We start from the raw sequence: 17,466 nt of genomic DNA, 5'->3' as shown, positions 1-17,466 counted from the left end.
TCAGAACCTTTAGGAGGATCAACACAAAGAAAACCATATCCAAGCATCAAATAGTAAGAGTAATGAAAATCAAAAAATTATTGAAGACAGTGGAAAAAAAAGACACTTCTCATACAAGGTATAAGGTTCTTGCAAGGATGAGAAAATCCCTCACTTCTCAGCAAAAACAGTGGAGGCCAGAAGACAATGGAACAACTTCTTTAAAATGCTCAAAAAAAATTTGCCAACCCAGAATTCTATACCTATGAAAAAAATCCTTCAAAACATGTTGAGGTAAAAACCTGTTCAGAAGAGCAAAAGCTGGGAGAAATCCTCCCCTGCAGATGTGCACTGCAGGTGACGTGCACGGATGTCCTTTAGGTTGACTAGGACGAGGCCAGGTGGGCCCTGACCTGCAGGAAGGAGTAGGAGGAACAGGGGAAGGTAAAGGAGCAGATAAATATCAAAGACGCATCCTTGTTCTTCTGTAATCGACTCGTAAGACAACCAACTTTTAAAATGGATTACTTGGTGACTAGCTCACAATCACTGTGGCTGCCCCAATTCTCTTGGTTTTTAAGTGTGATTCTGAACTATAGCAGTGAAAGGAGTTGCCTGTGAACTTGTGGCCTCGCCCGGCTTGTCCCTAGGCCTTAAGGTGACTCCCACATGGCCACAGATCGGCTCTGGGTCCATAGACTTCTAAGTTCTGTCCACAGCTCTGAGACCCCACTTGGTCTTCAGCCTTGGAGGGGATTTCATTAATGTGGTGTCTGACTTGTCTGAAGGCTTCTTGGCAGGAATCACCCATATCCACCACCAGCAGGCACAGAAGGACCCACACAGGAGCAGAGGGTGCCCCTGGGAGCTGCCTGGGATGGACAGAGTAGCTCTGCCCTGAGAGATGGCTCATCCCCCACCGTGTGACACCACCGTAGAATAAAGCGCTGTGGCCAATCCATCAAGAGAACAGAGCTGGAGTGTGAGGAGGAGCGTGTCATCCACACTCCTGCCCGCTGCTTCCCAAGTTCAGGGGCATCCTGGAATTTCACACCAGCTCCTCACTTTCCCCCAAGCTGCCTCTGCAGGGGTGAGACTGATCAGACCCACAGCGAGGGAGAGGAACCAGATATGAATAGCTCATGCCCGACTCCGTGATGGGTCCTCCTGGGCTCCGTCTGCAGAGGAGGTGTCCTGTGGCCATTAGTGCTACTCGTGGGAAGTGGGCACTTCTGAGGTGTGGTGTCAGGAAGCCCACTGTGGTCACACGCCTGAGCCATGCTCTGCAGACGCCAACGTGGCTGATGTTTTCGTCCATCTTCTCTGTCCGAGCTGGTTCAGGACTTCAGGATGAGTCACTTATTGAACCTTCAAGCCCTAGTATAATTTGGCACAGTGGTAACGACCATGGATCCCAGAGTGAAACTAAGCAGTCCAGATCCCTGCACCTCTGCAGTGGTGCAGACACGCACCCATTGTGCAAACCCTCTATGACTTACAAATTGCACATCTGTAAAATGGGGTATCGGCCACCCCGAATGCTGGCAAAGATGAATGAGATAATCACAGCCTGGCACAGTGCTAGACCTCTGTGCATTACTGTTACCTCAATAATCATCATTATTATTCCACAATATAGAGCCCAGTAGTTTGGCTCTCGTTACTTGGGAAGACCCTGATGATGACTGAGCTTCTCAGTCAAAACGGGGCCCCTGGTGTAGTGAGTGTGACTGTGCTTGTGTGAGCTCCAGATGGCATTTACAACGGGGGGACCTTGAACATCCATGAGGTGGGCCCCTGGCCTCACTGACAGCCCTTCACCAGCTACCCCTGCTCTGTTTCCAGGAAACACACGGTCTGCTGAATGATAGGGCACCCCTAGCTGAAAGAGTTTCCTGAACTGAGTAACCTCAACAGAAAAACACAGAAAGATCAACCAGACAGGGCAGAGGAGGAAAAACCACCCACGAGGAAGATGCCAGGGGGCTTGTTGCCAGGATGCCGGTAGCCTGGGTATAAAGGCCACCTAAGGAAGCAGGCTCCAGACCAGCCCTGTCCTCTGCGCCCCCCACCTGTCCACACTCCATCATGTGCCACACCAGCCACTCTTCGGGCTGCCCAATGGCCTGCCCTGGCTCCCCGTGCTGTGTCCCCAGCACCTGCTACCCACCCGAGGGCTATGGGACCTCCTGCTGCTGCTCAGCCCCCTGTGTGGCTCTGCTGTGCCGGCCCCTGTGTGGGGTATCCACCTGCTGCCAGCCAGCCTGCTGTGTGCCCAGCCCCTGCCAGGTGGCCTGCTGTGTGCCTGTGAGCTGCAAGCCTGTTTTGTGTGTGGCTTCCTTCTGCCCAACCTCTGGGTGCTGCCAGCCCTTCTGCCCCACCCTGGTCTATAGACCTGTCACCTGGAGCACCCCCACTGGCTGCTGAGCAGGTGGCCTCCTATGACCCTCGTAGGTGCGAGGTCAGAAGCCAGCAGGCTCTCTGAACTCCTGCCAGGCAGTCCCCACATCCTCCCACAGCAAACTGTCGTCACCTGACTAGACCGCCTGCCTCCTTTGCGGCACCGTCACTAGATCCCAGCCGGTGAGGCCATGCGCCTTTCTACACAGTTTCTCCTGGGTTCACAGCCTGGGCCATCCACAGGGCCCTCCGCACTGTCTGATGTTAGGTCTCTTGCAAATATCATAAATACCAGATGCTGAGTGCTCACCTGAGTCTGTGTGATGCCTTCTCCTCAGTGTCTTTCCCACACTCCTTCCTCAGGAGGTACCTTCCCCAGGATTCTGGAAAGCTCCTTCCCTGCAGAGAAGGGGCAGGTACCAGATGAATGTTAGGCCTGGTGAGCGGCCTCTCAACAGCACCCTCTCGGGCTAGTGGGCCGTGCTCCTGAGCTTGGCCTGATGGGAACCCCCAACCCCAGTCACATCAGGCTTCCTTCGTCCCACTTTGTTCCTTAAATGTATGAGGTCAGTTCTTACTCTCTTCTGGGTGAGATTGAGGACAAATCACTAATTTTGTAGTTTGATCCATTTTAGGTAAAACGGGCCATCTGCTTATTAGCTGGTATGTGCAACCCACTCTTGTCAAGAAATTAAAACCTTAAACTAAATTTAAATCTATAGCTACTCCTTCATCCAACTGGATGGGAAAGAGGTTTGTGGTGTTGATAAAAAAAGCTTTTAAGGAATTAAAGTGAGCTTTACTCAGAAGTTTTACCGAGGACTATAGAAGAGTGAGGTTTCTAGCCGGGGGCAGCTCTGTCAGAGATTCCGGCTCCGTGTTTCAGCTCACACCAGCCCGGGGGCAGCCCTGTCAGAGGCTCCGCCCCGGGTTTCAGCTCACAGTTCATATGCAGGTGGCGGGAGGTCAGCACGTGCAGATCACATGAAACTGGCTCAGAAGCTGCATCAAAGCAGAATCACATCCGGGTTTGGGGGCAGGAGCACATCTGGTTATGGACCGCAGAGGCATCATCACTCGCCCTATAAGACGTTATCTTGTTCAGGAAAAGGCAAGGACTAGCATCATTTATCTTTCTTTTTTTTTGAGATGGAGTCTCGCTCTGTCACCAGGCTGGAGTGCAGCGGCGTGATCTCAGCTCACTGCAAGCTCCACCTCCCAAGTTCACGCCATTCTTCTGCCTCAGCCTCCCGAGTATCTGGGACTACAGGTGCCCGCCGCCACGCTTGGTTAATTTTTTTTGTATTTTTAGTAGAGACGGGGTTTCACCGTGTTAGCCAGGATGGTTTTGATCTCCTGACCTTGTGATCCACCCGCCTCGGCCTCCCAAAGTGCTGGGATTACAGGTGTGAGCCACCACACCCCGCCAGAAGACTCTACATTTTAACCCTATATTTGCAGGTTGATGATTCTGAGTTCTGACTTTTCCTTGATATAATTTAACTATTTAAAAATGTGTACAAGAATGGGCCATGATATGTAGTCAACTGGAGTCCCAGAAAACCTGGCACGCCTTAATGTTTGAGAATCCCAGTTTTGGCCATTTCAGTGTTCAATCTCCTTTAGCTAACCCCTTACTTCTAGAAAGATACTTGCAAGTATAGACTCTGTATGGGTTACACATGAAGCCATTCCTACCTAGTATCTTTCAACGAGGAGAATTCCCCCTTCGTAAGACATAAAAAGTCTCACAGAAGAATGTACCCCTTCAGCAAGAAGTAAAATGAACTAACTGAATACAACTCAGGACTCTCAACCAAGTGGGAGGTCAGAGACTCAGGAGAGAGTCACTCAGTCACCTGTAACCATGGAGGAGCCGTGGGGGCTCAAGTGGCCTGTGCTGGTACCGGGGTGCTGGGTCCCCGCAGTGTTCCAGACGTCCCTGAGCAGTCCACTCTGAGTCCTATCTGGGTCACTGTGATTTTCATCTAAGGAAAAAAATTAAACTTTTAGAGAATGGGGCCCGGTGCGGTGGCTCACGCCTGTCATCCCAGCACTCTGGGAGGCCGAGGCGGGCGGATCACGAGGTCAGGAGATCGAGACCATCCTGGCTAACACAGTGAAACCCCGTCTCTACTAAAAATACAAAAAATTAGCCGGGAGAGGTGGCAGGCACCTGTACTCCCAGCTATTCGGGAGGCTGAGGCAGGAGAATTGTGTGAACGCGGGAGGCGGACCTTGCAGTGAGCCGAGATCGCGCCACTGCACTCCAGCCTGGGCGACACAGTGAGACTCCGTTTCAAAAAAAAAAAAAAAAAAAAAAGAAAGTTTTATTCAGAAGTCTTACTGAGGCCTAAACTGCTCCTGGGCTATATAGGCCTCGGTCTATAGTCCTCAGTAAGACTTCTGAAGCAAACTAACTTTCATTTTTTAAAAGCTTGATTTTTTTCCCCTTAGTCCATAGAGGTGAACTTCTGTGGCCAGCTGAGTATGGTCGCCAATGATGTCCACATCCTGGTTCTCAGAACCTATGAGTGTCACCTTTTGTGGCAGCAGGGACTTCACACGTGTGGCTAATTAAGGGAACTTAATATGTGTGGACCATAAGGTGTGGCTAATGGGAGAGTACCCTGGATTATCCAGGTGGGCCCAGTGTCTCCACAGGGTCCTTATCAGAAGGAGGGAGGAGGACATTTGGCCAGAGGAGAAGGTCATGGCAGGTGTGAGTGAGATGCCTGCTGCTAGCCCTGAACCAAGGGCTCGAGCCATTTCCAGAAGCTGAAAGAGATGAGGAAAGATTCTCTCCTGCAGCCTCCCGAAGGAACCCGCCCTGCCCATGCCTTGATTTTAGCCCTGTGAGACCCACAGCAGACTTCGGACCTCCACTGCTATGAGATGATCCATTCGTGTTGTTCGAAGCTACTAAGTTTGTGGCCACAGGACACACATCCAACTTCTCTGTCTCACAGCCTGGTGTTTCTACACACTGCGTGGTCTTGCCAGCCACAGCCGTGAGCTGTCTGGGGCTGTGTGGGGGAGGCAAGGAGAAGAAAAGGGGAGGAGAGACAAGTCTCCTCTCTGGAGACCTGTGGTGACTGGGCTGTCACTCTCTCTGCTTGCCAGGGCTTCGGCCTCACTCTCCCGCTCGTGGCCTGTCCATTGTGGGAGCTTTTTCCCTGTGGCTCCCCCAGCCTGGAAGAGGCTCTACTCTAGCTGGTGCCAACAGCTTCCTTCTGCCAAGACCTGTCCTCTCCCCAGGTTCTACTGCAGAGCCTGAGTCCACCCCTGGTGCCCCCTCCCTGGTGGGGCGCCACCTGGACCTGGGGGACCATCAGGGAGTGTCACCCTGTCCTCCCCCAGAGCATCTGCAGATTCCGGCCTCAGACTTCTTGGGTGTGTCAGAGCCAAGCCATGGTTGTCCCCTCTTCAGAGGACTCCGTCCACCTCTGGGGATCTCTGTGGCCTGTCCCTTGGCCTGTAGGAGGTCACAGGCCCCAGGCACTTCCCTCAGAACTCCTTTCCCAGCCCCCAGCCCCATTTCCCTGGACTCTCCACCCTCACTGGGGGCTGGAGCTGGAGGGCGTGTTGACATCCGGGGGCTGCTGTGACAGAGTCCCACGCCAGCTATGTGACATGGCAGAAGCTCACATCTCACGGTTCTGGAGGACTGCAGTCCGAGGTGAAGGCGTCAGTGGGGCTGGTTCCTTCCATGGTGGTGAAGGAGAGTCTGTCCCCATCTGGGGGATGACTCTGTCCTGTTTTCTGGGCCTGTTGCCTTCTTTGGTGTCCTTGGCCTGCAGGGGCATTGCCCAATCTCTGCCTCCGTCATCACGTGGCCCCAATCTCTGCCCCCGTCGTCACGTGGCCCCAGTCTCTGCCGCCGTCGTCACATGGCGTTCTCCAGGTGCCCGTTCGTGTGCAAATTTTGCCTTTTTATAAAAACAGAAGTGGTGTTGGCTCAGGGTCCCCCACTAATGACTTCACTTCAACTTGACTACATCTGCAAAGGTCCTGTTTCCACGTAAGGTCATGTTTACAGTATGAGGGATCAGCATCCAACATATACCTTTTCTTTCTTTTTTTTTTTTGGAGAGGGTCTTGCCTGGTCACCCAGGCTGGAGTGCAGTGGCGCGATCACGGCTCACTGCAGCCTTGACCTCCCAGGCTCAAGCCGTCTTCCCACCAAAGTAGCTGGGACTAGAGGTGCACACCACCATGTTCAGCTAAATTGTATTGTATTTTCTGTGGAGATGGGGTCTCACTGTGTTGCCTGGGCTGCTCTCGAACTCCTGGGCTCGAGTGGTCCTCCCTCCTCGGCCTCCCACGGTGCTGAGATTACAGGCATGCGCCACGTCTGGACCAACATGTCTTTTTTTAAGGGGACACTGTTCAGCCCAGGAAAGAGGTCGGTGCAAAGCCATGAGAGCAGCCTGGGTTCCTCTGTGCGTCAGTGGGCTGTGGCGTCTTTCATCGTGGTTCCTTGGGAAGGAAGAGTCCACTGAGAATCCGCGTGGCTGGGCCTCTTCAGGACACAGCCCAAGCCCACTGCACACACAGGAAGGCCCGAAGCTGGGCCTGAGGGTGGCCTGGCTCCCATCCAGGCATTGAAGCTATTGCAGAAGGAGGGAGGCCTGTATGGGGGATGCCTGCACTAATTCCAAGAATGGGAAGCTTGGCCCCCAAAACCGAGGGCTGCCCCGACAGAGCCAGCTTGGTCCCTGTGGCATGCGTGTGGGCCACACGGGAGAAGGGGTGTGGGCACGTCCTGGGTATGAGTGGGATTTGCCTGGAGGGGGTGCTGTCCTCAGTAGAAGGGGGCTGTTGGCACACGTGGGTAGCGGGGGAGCCGTTTGGGAACCAAGAAATCAGCTAAGAGGAGCACCAGCCAGTGTACCCCTCCTGCTGAGAGGCCCATATCTAGAAACTTCCGTTACCAGGATGCCCTGTATTGATGAGCATGTGAGGTGCAGGGGGACTCCTTAGAAGGCCTCCTCCACAGACCGCTGCTCATCCCTCCTCCCAGGCCAGCAGCCTCGCCTGGGGCTGTGCTCTCACCCTTACAACTGGGCGAGGGTGTCTGCAGGCTGGAGGGTCTCTGATCACACCCTGACGAGCATGCACCAACCATGTCCTCGCCTTACAGACACCCTCCCCCGGTCCCCAGGAGCCGTCCGGCTCTGTCCAGCAGGCGGTGGAGGGAGCTTTGCGGTTTCCTGTGGTTTCACGGGATGCCTTTGCAGGCAGCAGCTGCCCCTGACTCAGTGGGTCCCGCATCTCCCTCACAGACAGGAGGGGCACCCCGGGACCTGGGAGGGGCAGAGCACTCGGAGCTGTCGCTGTGCTGTGAGCACCTTCACGCACGTTCACAAGGGAGGGGACCCCGCCACTGCAGCCCTAGTTTCTCCTCTGCGTCTGGCACGGCAGCTTGACCGCGTGGGCTTGGACAGTTGCATGGACACACGGCCACCAGCAGACCTGCATGTCAGCTGCCACAGAGAGCACAGGGGCCCGGGTGTCACAAGCTGTGCTCGGCCATGGCTGTCCCTGCCTTTCCCCTCGGGAGCCATCGGGAGGCTGAAAGTCTCTGGTGCCCTGGAGGCTGCGGCCCTGGGTGCGTCTGCCCGCTGGCTGCACAGCGGCTTGGCCTCAGCAATGTTGGTGCGCCCTGTGCCGACTCCCCTGTGCCTTAGGCTCCCCTGTTCCTTTGGTTAGTGGTGAGGTGGAAACATCTCCCCCTCTTTTTTTAACTGTTTGTGCTATGAAAGGTCCATGAAGGCCTTTGTCCACTTATTTATGGGGATGGCCGTATTTTTCTTAATATTTGAATAAGCAAGTAACGGACACGGGTTGAATAAACTCTGGAAGACTGAGAGATTTATGAGTCCACGTGGGTTTAAATTCAGCTACTTTCTGGTTCAAGGTCCTCTTGGGGTTTTTGTTCTGTTGCTTCTTCCCTGGGCCCTCCCAGCCTCCTGAGGAGGTGCTGACCTGACTGGTCTCACTAGTGCCCTCTTCACTCTCCAGTGCTAGTGGTCCACTGAGACTACAGCCTCATCCTCTCCCACTGTCCTAAGGGTTCATCGATAAGGTGTCTTTTTGCTCTGTGTCTCCTCACCCAGGCCTTAAACCCTGAGTAGGATGAGTGACGTCTGAGTAACTCCAGGACCCCTCTTGGGGCCCATGAAATTGCTAGTGCTTCAGAGCACACAGAGTGGCCCTCAAACTCTCGGGGCAGCCCTCTGTGTGGGCACCTTTTCCACGGCCCACACACCACGAGGCCAGCACGGTGCCTGGGGCTCTCAGGTCCCAACTGAACGGGATTTCTGCTTCTTCCCGACTCAGCTTTAGCTTGGACTGGCAGGGGACAGGCATGGGCGGGTGGCCCAAAGCTCACCAGAGGCCGAGCCCACTCAGCTCTGCTCCCCTCCCTGGCTCAGCTTGGAGGCTCATCCCCTGTGGGCAGGGCTTTGGCTGCAGGAAGAGTGTGGAGCTGATCACATTTGCTTTCAAAGCCTGCTGTCTTCCAAGTGTTTGATCTCGGAATGAGAGACACTGTCCTGTCTGCCTTTAACAAGACAGTGGGTCCCACACCCCAAATTTGGAGTAGGCAGAGGGGCTCAGGGGAAGAGCAGAAAGTGCACACCAGCCCGTATTTCCTGACTCAAGAATTTATTGATTAGAGCAGTTCTTCTTTGTCACATTGGGTATAAGCAACACATTTGGAGAAGGGGGCTCCAGAAAGCCACAGTCCACCTGCTGAGGGATTTGTGGGTTGTCTCTTCCCAGACAGTGGGGAGGAAAGTGTGACGCGCTCAAAATCCCCTTCAGGCAGCAGCTCTGTGGCTACTGATGGAGCTGGTGGATTCTGAGGACTCCAGGGGCTCCTGAGACTGGAGAATCCTGCTTGGCAGCAAAGACACAGTCAGCAGGAGACAAGGATTGAGCACTCAGCAGCTGGACTTCTTGCCTGAGCAGAGGCTGTAGCAGGCCAGGCGGGAGCTTGCGGGGCGGCAGAGGAGGGACACGCAGGAGGCCGGGCGGCAGCAGCTGGACTGGCAGGAGGAGGTGGGGGCACAGCAGGAGGAGACGGGCACACAGCAGGTGGACCTGCACACGGGGTGGCAGAGGAGGGACACAGAGGAGGAGGGTCTGCAGCAGGAGGTGGTGCAGCAAGCTGGCTGGCAGCTAGGCTGCTGGCAGCGTGAAGAGGAAGCCCTAGAGCAGACAGGCACACAGCAGATGGGCTTGCAGTAGACAGTCTTGCAGCAGACAGGCACGCAGCAGGCCTGCTGGTAGGAGGAGGAGGTGCAGCAAGCTGGCTGGCAGCTAGACTGCTGGCAGCATGAAGAGGAATCCTCAGAGCAGGTGGACACACAGCACACAGGCTTGCAGCAGACGGGCACACAGCAGGCCGGCTGGCAGGAGGAAGAGGCACAGCAAGCTGGCTGGCAGCTAGACTGCCGGCAGCACGAAGAAGCAGCCCCACAGCAGACAGGCACACAGCACACAGGCTTGCAGCAGACAGTCTTGCAGCAGACAGGCACACAGCAGGCCTGCTGGCAGGGGGAGGAGGTGCAGCAAGCCGGCTGGCAGCTAGACTGCTGGCAGCATGACGGCGTGCAGGAGCTGGTGCAGCCTGATTGGCAGGCGCTGGGCTCACAGGCCGCCTGGCAGCAGGGGCTGGACACACAGCTCACTGGGGTGCAGACCAGGCTCAGGGAGGGGGCCGGGGCGCAGCAGCTGGGGGCGCTGCAGGGGGGCTCACAGCAGCTCTCTGGGCAGTCGTCCACCTGCCAGGAGTCGGAGTAAGCGCTGGAGCAGACAGACATGGTGGACGCGGCCATGCTGGGGTGGGGAGGAGGTGAGCTGGGGGAGGTGTAAGTGAGTGTGTGAGTGTGTGTGTGAGTGAGTGAGTGAGGTGCTCAGGGCTGTGGGGCTTTTAAATCCCTCCCTGGCATGTGTTGTCCCAACAGGAGGCTCCACAAGCTTTTCTTCCTTGTTGGTGTTTACAGCTGGTGGCTGGAGATGCATCATTCATGCTGGTTTATCTCTTTGTTTTTCCCTTATTAAACTGGTATGTATGTCGCAGGGCTCTGTTTCTTCATCAGTTTTTATTTTGGCCACAGAAATGTGGTGGAAAATATTTCCTTTTTTTTTTTTTTTTTTTTTTTTTTTTTTGAGAGGGAGTCTTGCTCTGTCACCCAGGCTGGAGTGCAGTGGCGCGATCTCAGCTCACTGCAACCTCCGCCCCCTGGGTTCAAGCGATTCTCCCACCTCAGCCTCCCGAGTAGCTGGGATTACAGGCACGCTGTAATTTTTGTATTTTTAGTAGAGACGGGGTTTCACCATCTTGGCCAGGCTGGTCTTGAACTCCTGACCTCATGATCTACCCGCCTCAGCCTCCCAAAGTGCTGGGATTACAGGCGTGAGCCACCGCGTCCGGCCGGAAAATATTTCAAGCAAGCTTTTGTTGAGTTGAGGTTTTAGAGATGAACGTTTCTCCAAAGGAAGCAATTCTGTTTCCACCTATCCTGTTTCTGGACTGATTAGATATATTTTATTACTTTTAGCATCTTAAAACATAAACATGGAGAAAAATGTACACTTCATATGAAATAAAAACGGCACAGACGATAAGATAAGAGGAAGCTGGCTGAGCGTGGTGACTCATGCCTCTAATCCCAGTACTTTGGGGGGCTGAGGTGGGTGGATCACGAGGTCAGGAGTTTGAGACCAGCCTGGCCAGCATGGTGAAACCCGGTCTCTACTAAAAATACAAAAAATTAGCCAGGCATGGTGGCATGTGCCTGTAGTCCCAGCTACTTAGGCTGAGGCAGGAGAATTCTTGAACCCAGGAGGTGGAGGTTGCAGTGAGCTGAGATTGCACCATTGCACCCCAGCCTAGGTGACAGAGCAAGACTCTGTCTCAAAAAAAAAAAAAAAAGCTAAGTGGCCCTCCCTTCGATCCCTCACACCTTGTAAGGAGAATGCTCAGAGATTCAGTAGCTGGTGGATCCAAGCTTTATTTTTGTCTCTTCAGCTCTTCCATGCCACCCTCAGAGGCTCTTTGTTTTATTTGAAGCTGCACTCTGGATTATTTCAATTTTCATTTTGCCTTGGTGAAAGATCAAGTACTTTTTCATATATGGTGATTTTAGGACATACATTTTAAGATTCCTTGCTTGTCTGAAAATATGTCAACTTTATCCTCACATTTATAATGATAGTTTAGCTGGGTATAAAATTCTGGTTTTAAATTACTTTTCCTCAAAATGATGAACACATGTCACCATTTTTTTGTGATGTCCAGTGTTGCCGATGACAGTCTGATACTGGTCATTTGTCATTTTTTAGTTTCTCTCTTTCCTTAACTCTCTGGGAGCATTTGGGTTTCTTTTTATTGTTCTAAAGTGTCACGCTTTTGTTTCTAGGCTAATGCATTATTTTACTTTCAGTGGTTAGAACTTATTGAGCCTTTCAATATAAAGACTTATCTCCGAAGTGTTTTTCCATTTTTAATAATAATTTCATCTTTCCTGGTCTCTCTTTTTATGACTTTTTATTTCATCTTGTGATGAATGAAATATGTTATCCATTCACTCTGATGATGTTACTTTGAGTTTTTAAATGTTTTTTTCTTGTTTCCTTGGACATCAGATAGTCTGCTCATTGGTGGCAGTTCATTCAGTTTTCTGAATAAAAGACTATTTTATTCCAGTGCATTAGGGTCCTGCTCCAATTTACTCCCTAACCTGTTTCTGTCTGCTTCTCTTTTCTACAAACATATGAAGGACCCTGCTGAGCCTCCCGTTTTTGTTAGATAATTTTGATTTCATTTTTTATAACTCTTTAAATATCCTTTCAGTGATTATTAGTACAGGTGTGTGAGATCTGTGTGCTTAATCCGCTTTCTGGGACTGAAGGACTTGGTGATGCTTTCAGGAGATGATAGGAAAGCCAGGAAGTCTAGGGTGACATCGTATTAGTGGATGTACTACAGACACACACAGTGCACGTACAGTCTTTTTACGTCAGCCACAACATGAGGTGCAACTGTAGAGCCCTGGACTCACTGGAGACATGACTTTTTGGATCATGGAACTTTCCACTGGGGGCCAGCAGGGCAGCTTCTGTGGACAATCAAATGATCAAACCATTTCTTAAATCAAGCAGACACTCTGGGGATCTGAGTGAGTTGAATGGCAGGGATTAAATGGCCCTGGCTGGGAGAGGGAGGTGCCGGGAGGGGATGTGAGTCTGGAGGGCAGGGTGGCCCACGGCCAGGTCTTCTGCAAGTGACACACATTTGGATTCTTCTTTTCCAAAACGTAGTCTTTTGTTTTATTTGACTCCCTTTCGTCGTGGCTGGCTGCCCAGCACAATGCTGGAGACGCGATGACAGCAGCCCTCTGGTCTTGTTTCCAAAGTTAACAGAAATGCTTCCCGCAACTCCGCACTAAGCCGATGTTTGCTGCTTTGTCGCACAGCCTTGGTCTCGTGCATGCAGTGTTTTCCTACTTTAGTTTATCATGAATTTTGCCTCAGGCTTTTAAGGAAGGAGTGAGTTTGTTTGTGTATGTGTGTGTGTATGTGTGTGAATGTGTGTGTATTAATCTACTGAGAGTTCCAGTGGCTTTTCTGCTTCTATTTTATGAGTATAGTTAATGATACCCTTTGTAACTTGAGTGATCTAAGATATACATTACTTGATAATAGCTCATTATCCCTTTTTCCCCAGCTTTATTGAGATATAATTGACAAACAAGAATTATATAAATTCAAGGTATACAACATGACGTCTTGATACATGTACACATTGTGTGATGATTACCACGGTCAAGCTAATTAATATGTCCATCACCCCATGTAGTTACCTTTATTTTGTGATGAGACATTTAAGATGGACTCTTAGCAGATTTCGGTGTTACTATGTTGCGTTCTGTGTTACAGTCAACTGTCCTCATGCTGCACATGAGGTTTCCAGAACTGACTCATCCTGCACAGCTGAAGCTGTATCCTGTCATCAACATGTCCCCACTCCCTGCACCCCCTGGCCCTCGAATCCCCATTCTACTCTCTGCTTTGGTGAACTTGGCTTTTTTAGATTCCACAAATAAGTGAGGTCTGCAGTATTTGTCTTTCTGTGCCTGGGTCACTTCACCTAGCATAGTGTGTGCAGGTTCATCCATGTTGTCACAGATGACAGGATCTCCTTCCTTTCTATGGCTGAATCGTATTCCATCATGCATATGCACCGCATTTTCTTTATCCACTCATCTGTTGATGATCACTTATGTTGCTTCCGTATCTTTGCTGTTGTGAATAGTGCTGCAGTTAGCATGGCAGTGCAGGTATCTCTGAGCTCTGGCTTTAATTTGTCTTGTTTAAATACACAGAAGTGGGATTGCTCATCACATGGTAGTTCCATTTTTAATTTTTAAGTTTTTAATTTTTTTTTTTTGAGATAGAGTCTCGCTCTGTTGCCCAGGCTGGAGTGCAGTGGCACAATCTCGGCTCACTGCAAGCTCTGCCTCCCAGGTTCACGCCATTCTCCTGCCTCAGCCTCCCAGGTAGCTGGGACTACAGGCGCCTGCCACCACACCTGGCCAATTTTTGTATTTTTAGTAGAGACGGGGTTTCACCGTGTTAGCCAGGATGGTCTCGATCTCCTGACCTCGTGATCTGCCTGCCTCGGCCTCTCAAAGTGCTGGGATTACAGGCATGAGCCACTGCGCCCGGCCCCATTTTTAATTTTTTGAGGAACTTCCGTACTATTTCCCATAATGGCTATACATAGTGGCTTAGTTTTCTGTTATTGTAGGTTCATACAATCTCTTACATTATTTTTTTAAATGATGTTGGTCTACAGTCCTATCTCTCTCGCTGTTATTCCTGGTTTTGGCATCAGGATGTCACCAGTCTTACTAGAGGAATCCAGAGGACCTCTGGCTTCTTCTGATCTCTGGAATATTTCAAGTATCACAGAAAAGTCTTTGTATTGAAGGCTGATGGTATACATCTTTGAAACATCTGAGTCTGCCTTCTGAAGAATGAGCTTTTTCAATACCATTTCCATATTTTCCTGGATATCATTGTATTAAAATTTTTGTCTTGTTACTCAGGGTAGGTAATTTATATTTTTTAGGACACAGTACATTTAATTTATATTTCCAAATTTTAGGATAAATATACCCATACTATTTTCTTATACTGAAACAGGAAAATCTCTGAATCTGTGAGCATACTTCTTTTTCCATCTTTCATGTCTGCTTATTTTTATTAGACTTTATTTTTATTTTCTTTAGATTTTCCTTGATGGGTGTCTGTGGATTTTTGTGGACGTTTGAAAAGAGGGGGTCGTGTTTCTTCTTGTTGGAAATTGCTGAGTAAAAATTTCAGAAAGCATTGTGGGTGGTAAATTTTCCGGATCCCTGTTGTTTAAGAACAGCCTTCCCGCTGAAGCCTGCCACAGCAGAGTCTAGGTGCGGAATTTCTTCCCTCCACCTTGGTAGAGGCTGGGCCACCAATGCATCTCATATTTGCATAACTTTGATCTTCTTGTGAAGTCTTTCCTCTGTCTAGAACCTGGCACTATTGTCTCTTTCTTTTACTTCATTCATTTCACCAGACCCCTCCCTCGTCACTGTCATCAGCTGTGTTCATCCCCTCGATCCCATCTTCCTTTAGTTCAAAAAACTTTTATTCTCATATGGGTCTGATGATTTTCTTCCATTCTTGGATTTTCTCCCCACTGCGATCCCGGTTAGGATCACAGACCCTGGGTCTCCTGGGCTCTTCCCACTCAGATCTCAGGCTCTTCTTGGCTTTATCTCTGTCCTTCTGCATTGGGTTTGGGTCAATCCTTGCCTGAACTGGGGTCACTGTATCAGCAATTCTGCTTTCAGGGTCTATTATGCAGACCATCATTGAGTTTCATCTGTGTTGAGAGTGTCATGCTTTCAGTCTCCTGGAACTTGGGGTGTTTTCCTTCCTCCTCTTCCTCCTCCTTTTTGGTAGCACCCTGTTCTTGTTTCATGGAGTGACAGCCTCTTTGTTTCCTCACATCTGCATCATCGCTTGTTCAGACTTTGCTTCTCTGTCATGCTGTGATTTCCTCACATGTCTGAGGACCCTTAGTTGTCATTCACATTTTTAAGTGAGGGTCTAGATTGTTTGGCATTCATTGCTGAAAGGTTTTCTGCACATAGATACACATATTCTGCATCCAGAGCTGATGCTGGGGCTCTGATGAGGGGGGCCTTGTTCATCGCTGATTGGACATGGGGGCTCCAGTTCATCTTGGCATCCAGAGCTTCCTGGGGCGTGGCCTCTTCCTCTCCAGATTGGGACCTAGGCTGGGAGTCTCCTGGGCCAACCCCACCCTTCCTGGTTCTCCCGCTGGTTGCAGGCATGGAATGGCTCTTCTTCAGAACTCGACCCATCAGTTAAAGACCACTGAGTGCCCACAGTCATCCTCATGTATGGTCCCTTTGCTAGGGTCTCCGGGAAAAGTCATTTGTCTTCAGAGTCCTTCTGCCTTTCTTTCTGTTGGATTTAAAGTCAATAGAACCTGATCTTTTTGTCTTGCCTTTCCCAGAAAATCCTTACTGACCTGGTCTGTGGATGGCATGCCTCCATTTTCTATCACTGCTCTGGCGCCATTCATTTTTATCTGGATGAAGGGGAGGTGGAGGCATTGGCCAGTGGCCATCCCAAATGGAGGGCTGAGACTATTTGTTTTTAACACATTGACCAAGAGAAAATTCACAAGCCATGAAGTTCACCCACTGTAAGTGCACAATCCACTGGTTTTTAATATATTCCCAGTGTTTCTCAGCCATCACCAATATGTAATTTTACAACATTCCCACTCCAAAAACCACACCCATAAGCAGTCACTCCTCATGAGCCCCTCCACCAGCCTTGGTCACACACTCATCTACTTCCTTTCTCTGCGGATTTGCCTGTTCTGAGTCTTTCATACAAATAGAATCCCACCACATGTGGCCACTCGCTGAGCATCATGCTTTCAAGGCTCATGCATGTTGTAGCCTGTGTCAGTATTTGATCCCTTTTCATGGCTGAATAATATTCCCATGGGGATGGGCTGTGTTTTGCTTGTGTGGATAGGCTGTGTTTTGCTTGTCCATTCATCCTCTGATGGACATTTGGGCTCTTTCCACTTCTTGGCTACTGTCAGTGGTGCTGTGTACATGGGCACAGAAATCTGTGTGTGGACGTTTGTTTCATTCCTCCGGGGTAGATGCCTAGAACTGGACTGACAGGGTCACAGGGTCACACAGTGAGTGACATTTTGAGGAACTGTTTTCCAAGGTGCTTTCACTGGGGGTTGAAGCTCTGATGAGGCAGAAGACACATCGAATGAGGACCCAGAGTAGGAGTCAGAGCTGAGACCCCCCACCAGGAGGTATCCTCCCTGGGGACGGCCAGACAGGCTGGGTCCTGTCGGTGCCTTGGACAGGGAAGGTGGGGACAATGGCAAATGTGGAGGAGGTCAGAGAGCCAGCCCCGGGCCCTCCTCCTGGCTCTCTGTTCTGACCCTGTGGCCATCAGTGAGCACAGTGATGTGGGGCTCAGACATGCATGTGTGGGGAGCCCCTCCCGAGGATGGCCCCGGAGACCTAGGATGAAGGCTCGGCCCCTGCCAGCTGCCCCAAAAACCGGGGCAGGTTTTTGGACAAACATCTCTGTCCCTGGAGGCCCCCATTTGTCCTTTCATGGGGACTTGGCTTTGCTTCCAAGGAGGTGGACAAGGCTGTGTCAGTTTGGCCACCAGCCCTGGGGACGGCTGCTGCTGGTTGTCCTGGGTGATCTGCCTCGAGGGGAGTGAGCGAGGCGGCTGTGCTGACCACAGGGAGCTCTGTGGGGTGGGACTCCGGGAGGTCCTGGTGCTGGGGCTGGCGGCCTCTGTCATTGACACGCAAGGGTCATTTGCTGGAGCCGGACGTGCGCTCTCAAATGCGCACAGCGACCTGGCGGAAAGAGTGCAGCAGCTTGTGCCACTTCCCCGACGTGGCATCTGGGACGGAGGGTGGCAGGCAGAGCTGAGGGCTATTTGGGAGAGAC

The 17,466-nt window shown here is 51.2% G+C and overlaps 3 protein-coding genes across 4 annotated transcripts in view, besides 3 other annotated features; 2 read left to right on the top strand and 1 right to left on the bottom strand.

Annotated features, from left to right (window-relative positions):
* Positions 1-17,466, top strand: part of TSPEAR (thrombospondin type laminin G domain and EAR repeats) — a 213,680-nt gene that overhangs the window by 54,891 nt on the left and 141,323 nt on the right. The gene's annotated exons all lie outside the window — the stretch shown is intronic.
* Positions 558-1,058: an enhancer, noted in NCBI's record as "H3K4me1 hESC enhancer chr21:46075541-46076041 (GRCh37/hg19 assembly coordinates)". NCBI's record gives its function as "activates a minimal SCP1, AML or CMV promoter by ChIP-STARR-seq in primed H9 embryonic stem cells {active_cell/tissue: H9 hESC(primed)}" and the evidence as "EXISTENCE:reporter gene assay evidence [ECO:0000049][PMID:30033119]".
* Positions 1,059-1,559: an enhancer, noted in NCBI's record as "H3K4me1 hESC enhancer chr21:46075040-46075540 (GRCh37/hg19 assembly coordinates)". NCBI's record gives its function as "activates a minimal SCP1, AML or CMV promoter by ChIP-STARR-seq in primed H9 embryonic stem cells {active_cell/tissue: H9 hESC(primed)}" and the evidence as "EXISTENCE:reporter gene assay evidence [ECO:0000049][PMID:30033119]".
* KRTAP12-4 (keratin associated protein 12-4) lies at positions 2,023-2,469 on the top strand. The gene has a single exon (NM_198698.1). The coding sequence runs from the start codon at positions 2,068-2,070 to the stop codon at positions 2,404-2,406; it is 339 nt and encodes a 112-aa protein (NP_941971.1). The 5' UTR covers positions 2,023-2,067; the 3' UTR covers positions 2,407-2,469.
* Positions 8,729-9,593: an enhancer, noted in NCBI's record as "H3K27ac-H3K4me1 hESC enhancer chr21:46067006-46067870 (GRCh37/hg19 assembly coordinates)". NCBI's record gives its function as "activates a minimal SCP1, AML or CMV promoter by ChIP-STARR-seq in primed H9 embryonic stem cells {active_cell/tissue: H9 hESC(primed)}" and the evidence as "EXISTENCE:reporter gene assay evidence [ECO:0000049][PMID:30033119]".
* Positions 9,032-10,268, bottom strand: KRTAP10-11 (keratin associated protein 10-11). Its single transcript, NM_198692.3, has one exon. The coding sequence runs from the start codon at positions 10,221-10,223 to the stop codon at positions 9,327-9,329; it is 897 nt and encodes a 298-aa protein (NP_941965.2). The 5' UTR covers positions 10,224-10,268; the 3' UTR covers positions 9,032-9,326.

The sequence above is a fragment of the Homo sapiens genome, chromosome 21, assembly GCF_000001405.40.
Source record: "Homo sapiens chromosome 21, GRCh38.p14 Primary Assembly".
Taxonomy (NCBI): domain Eukaryota; kingdom Metazoa; phylum Chordata; class Mammalia; order Primates; family Hominidae; genus Homo; species Homo sapiens.
The sequence above is the reverse complement of the archived record's forward strand: the minus strand, read 5'-3'. Positions and strand labels throughout refer to the sequence as shown.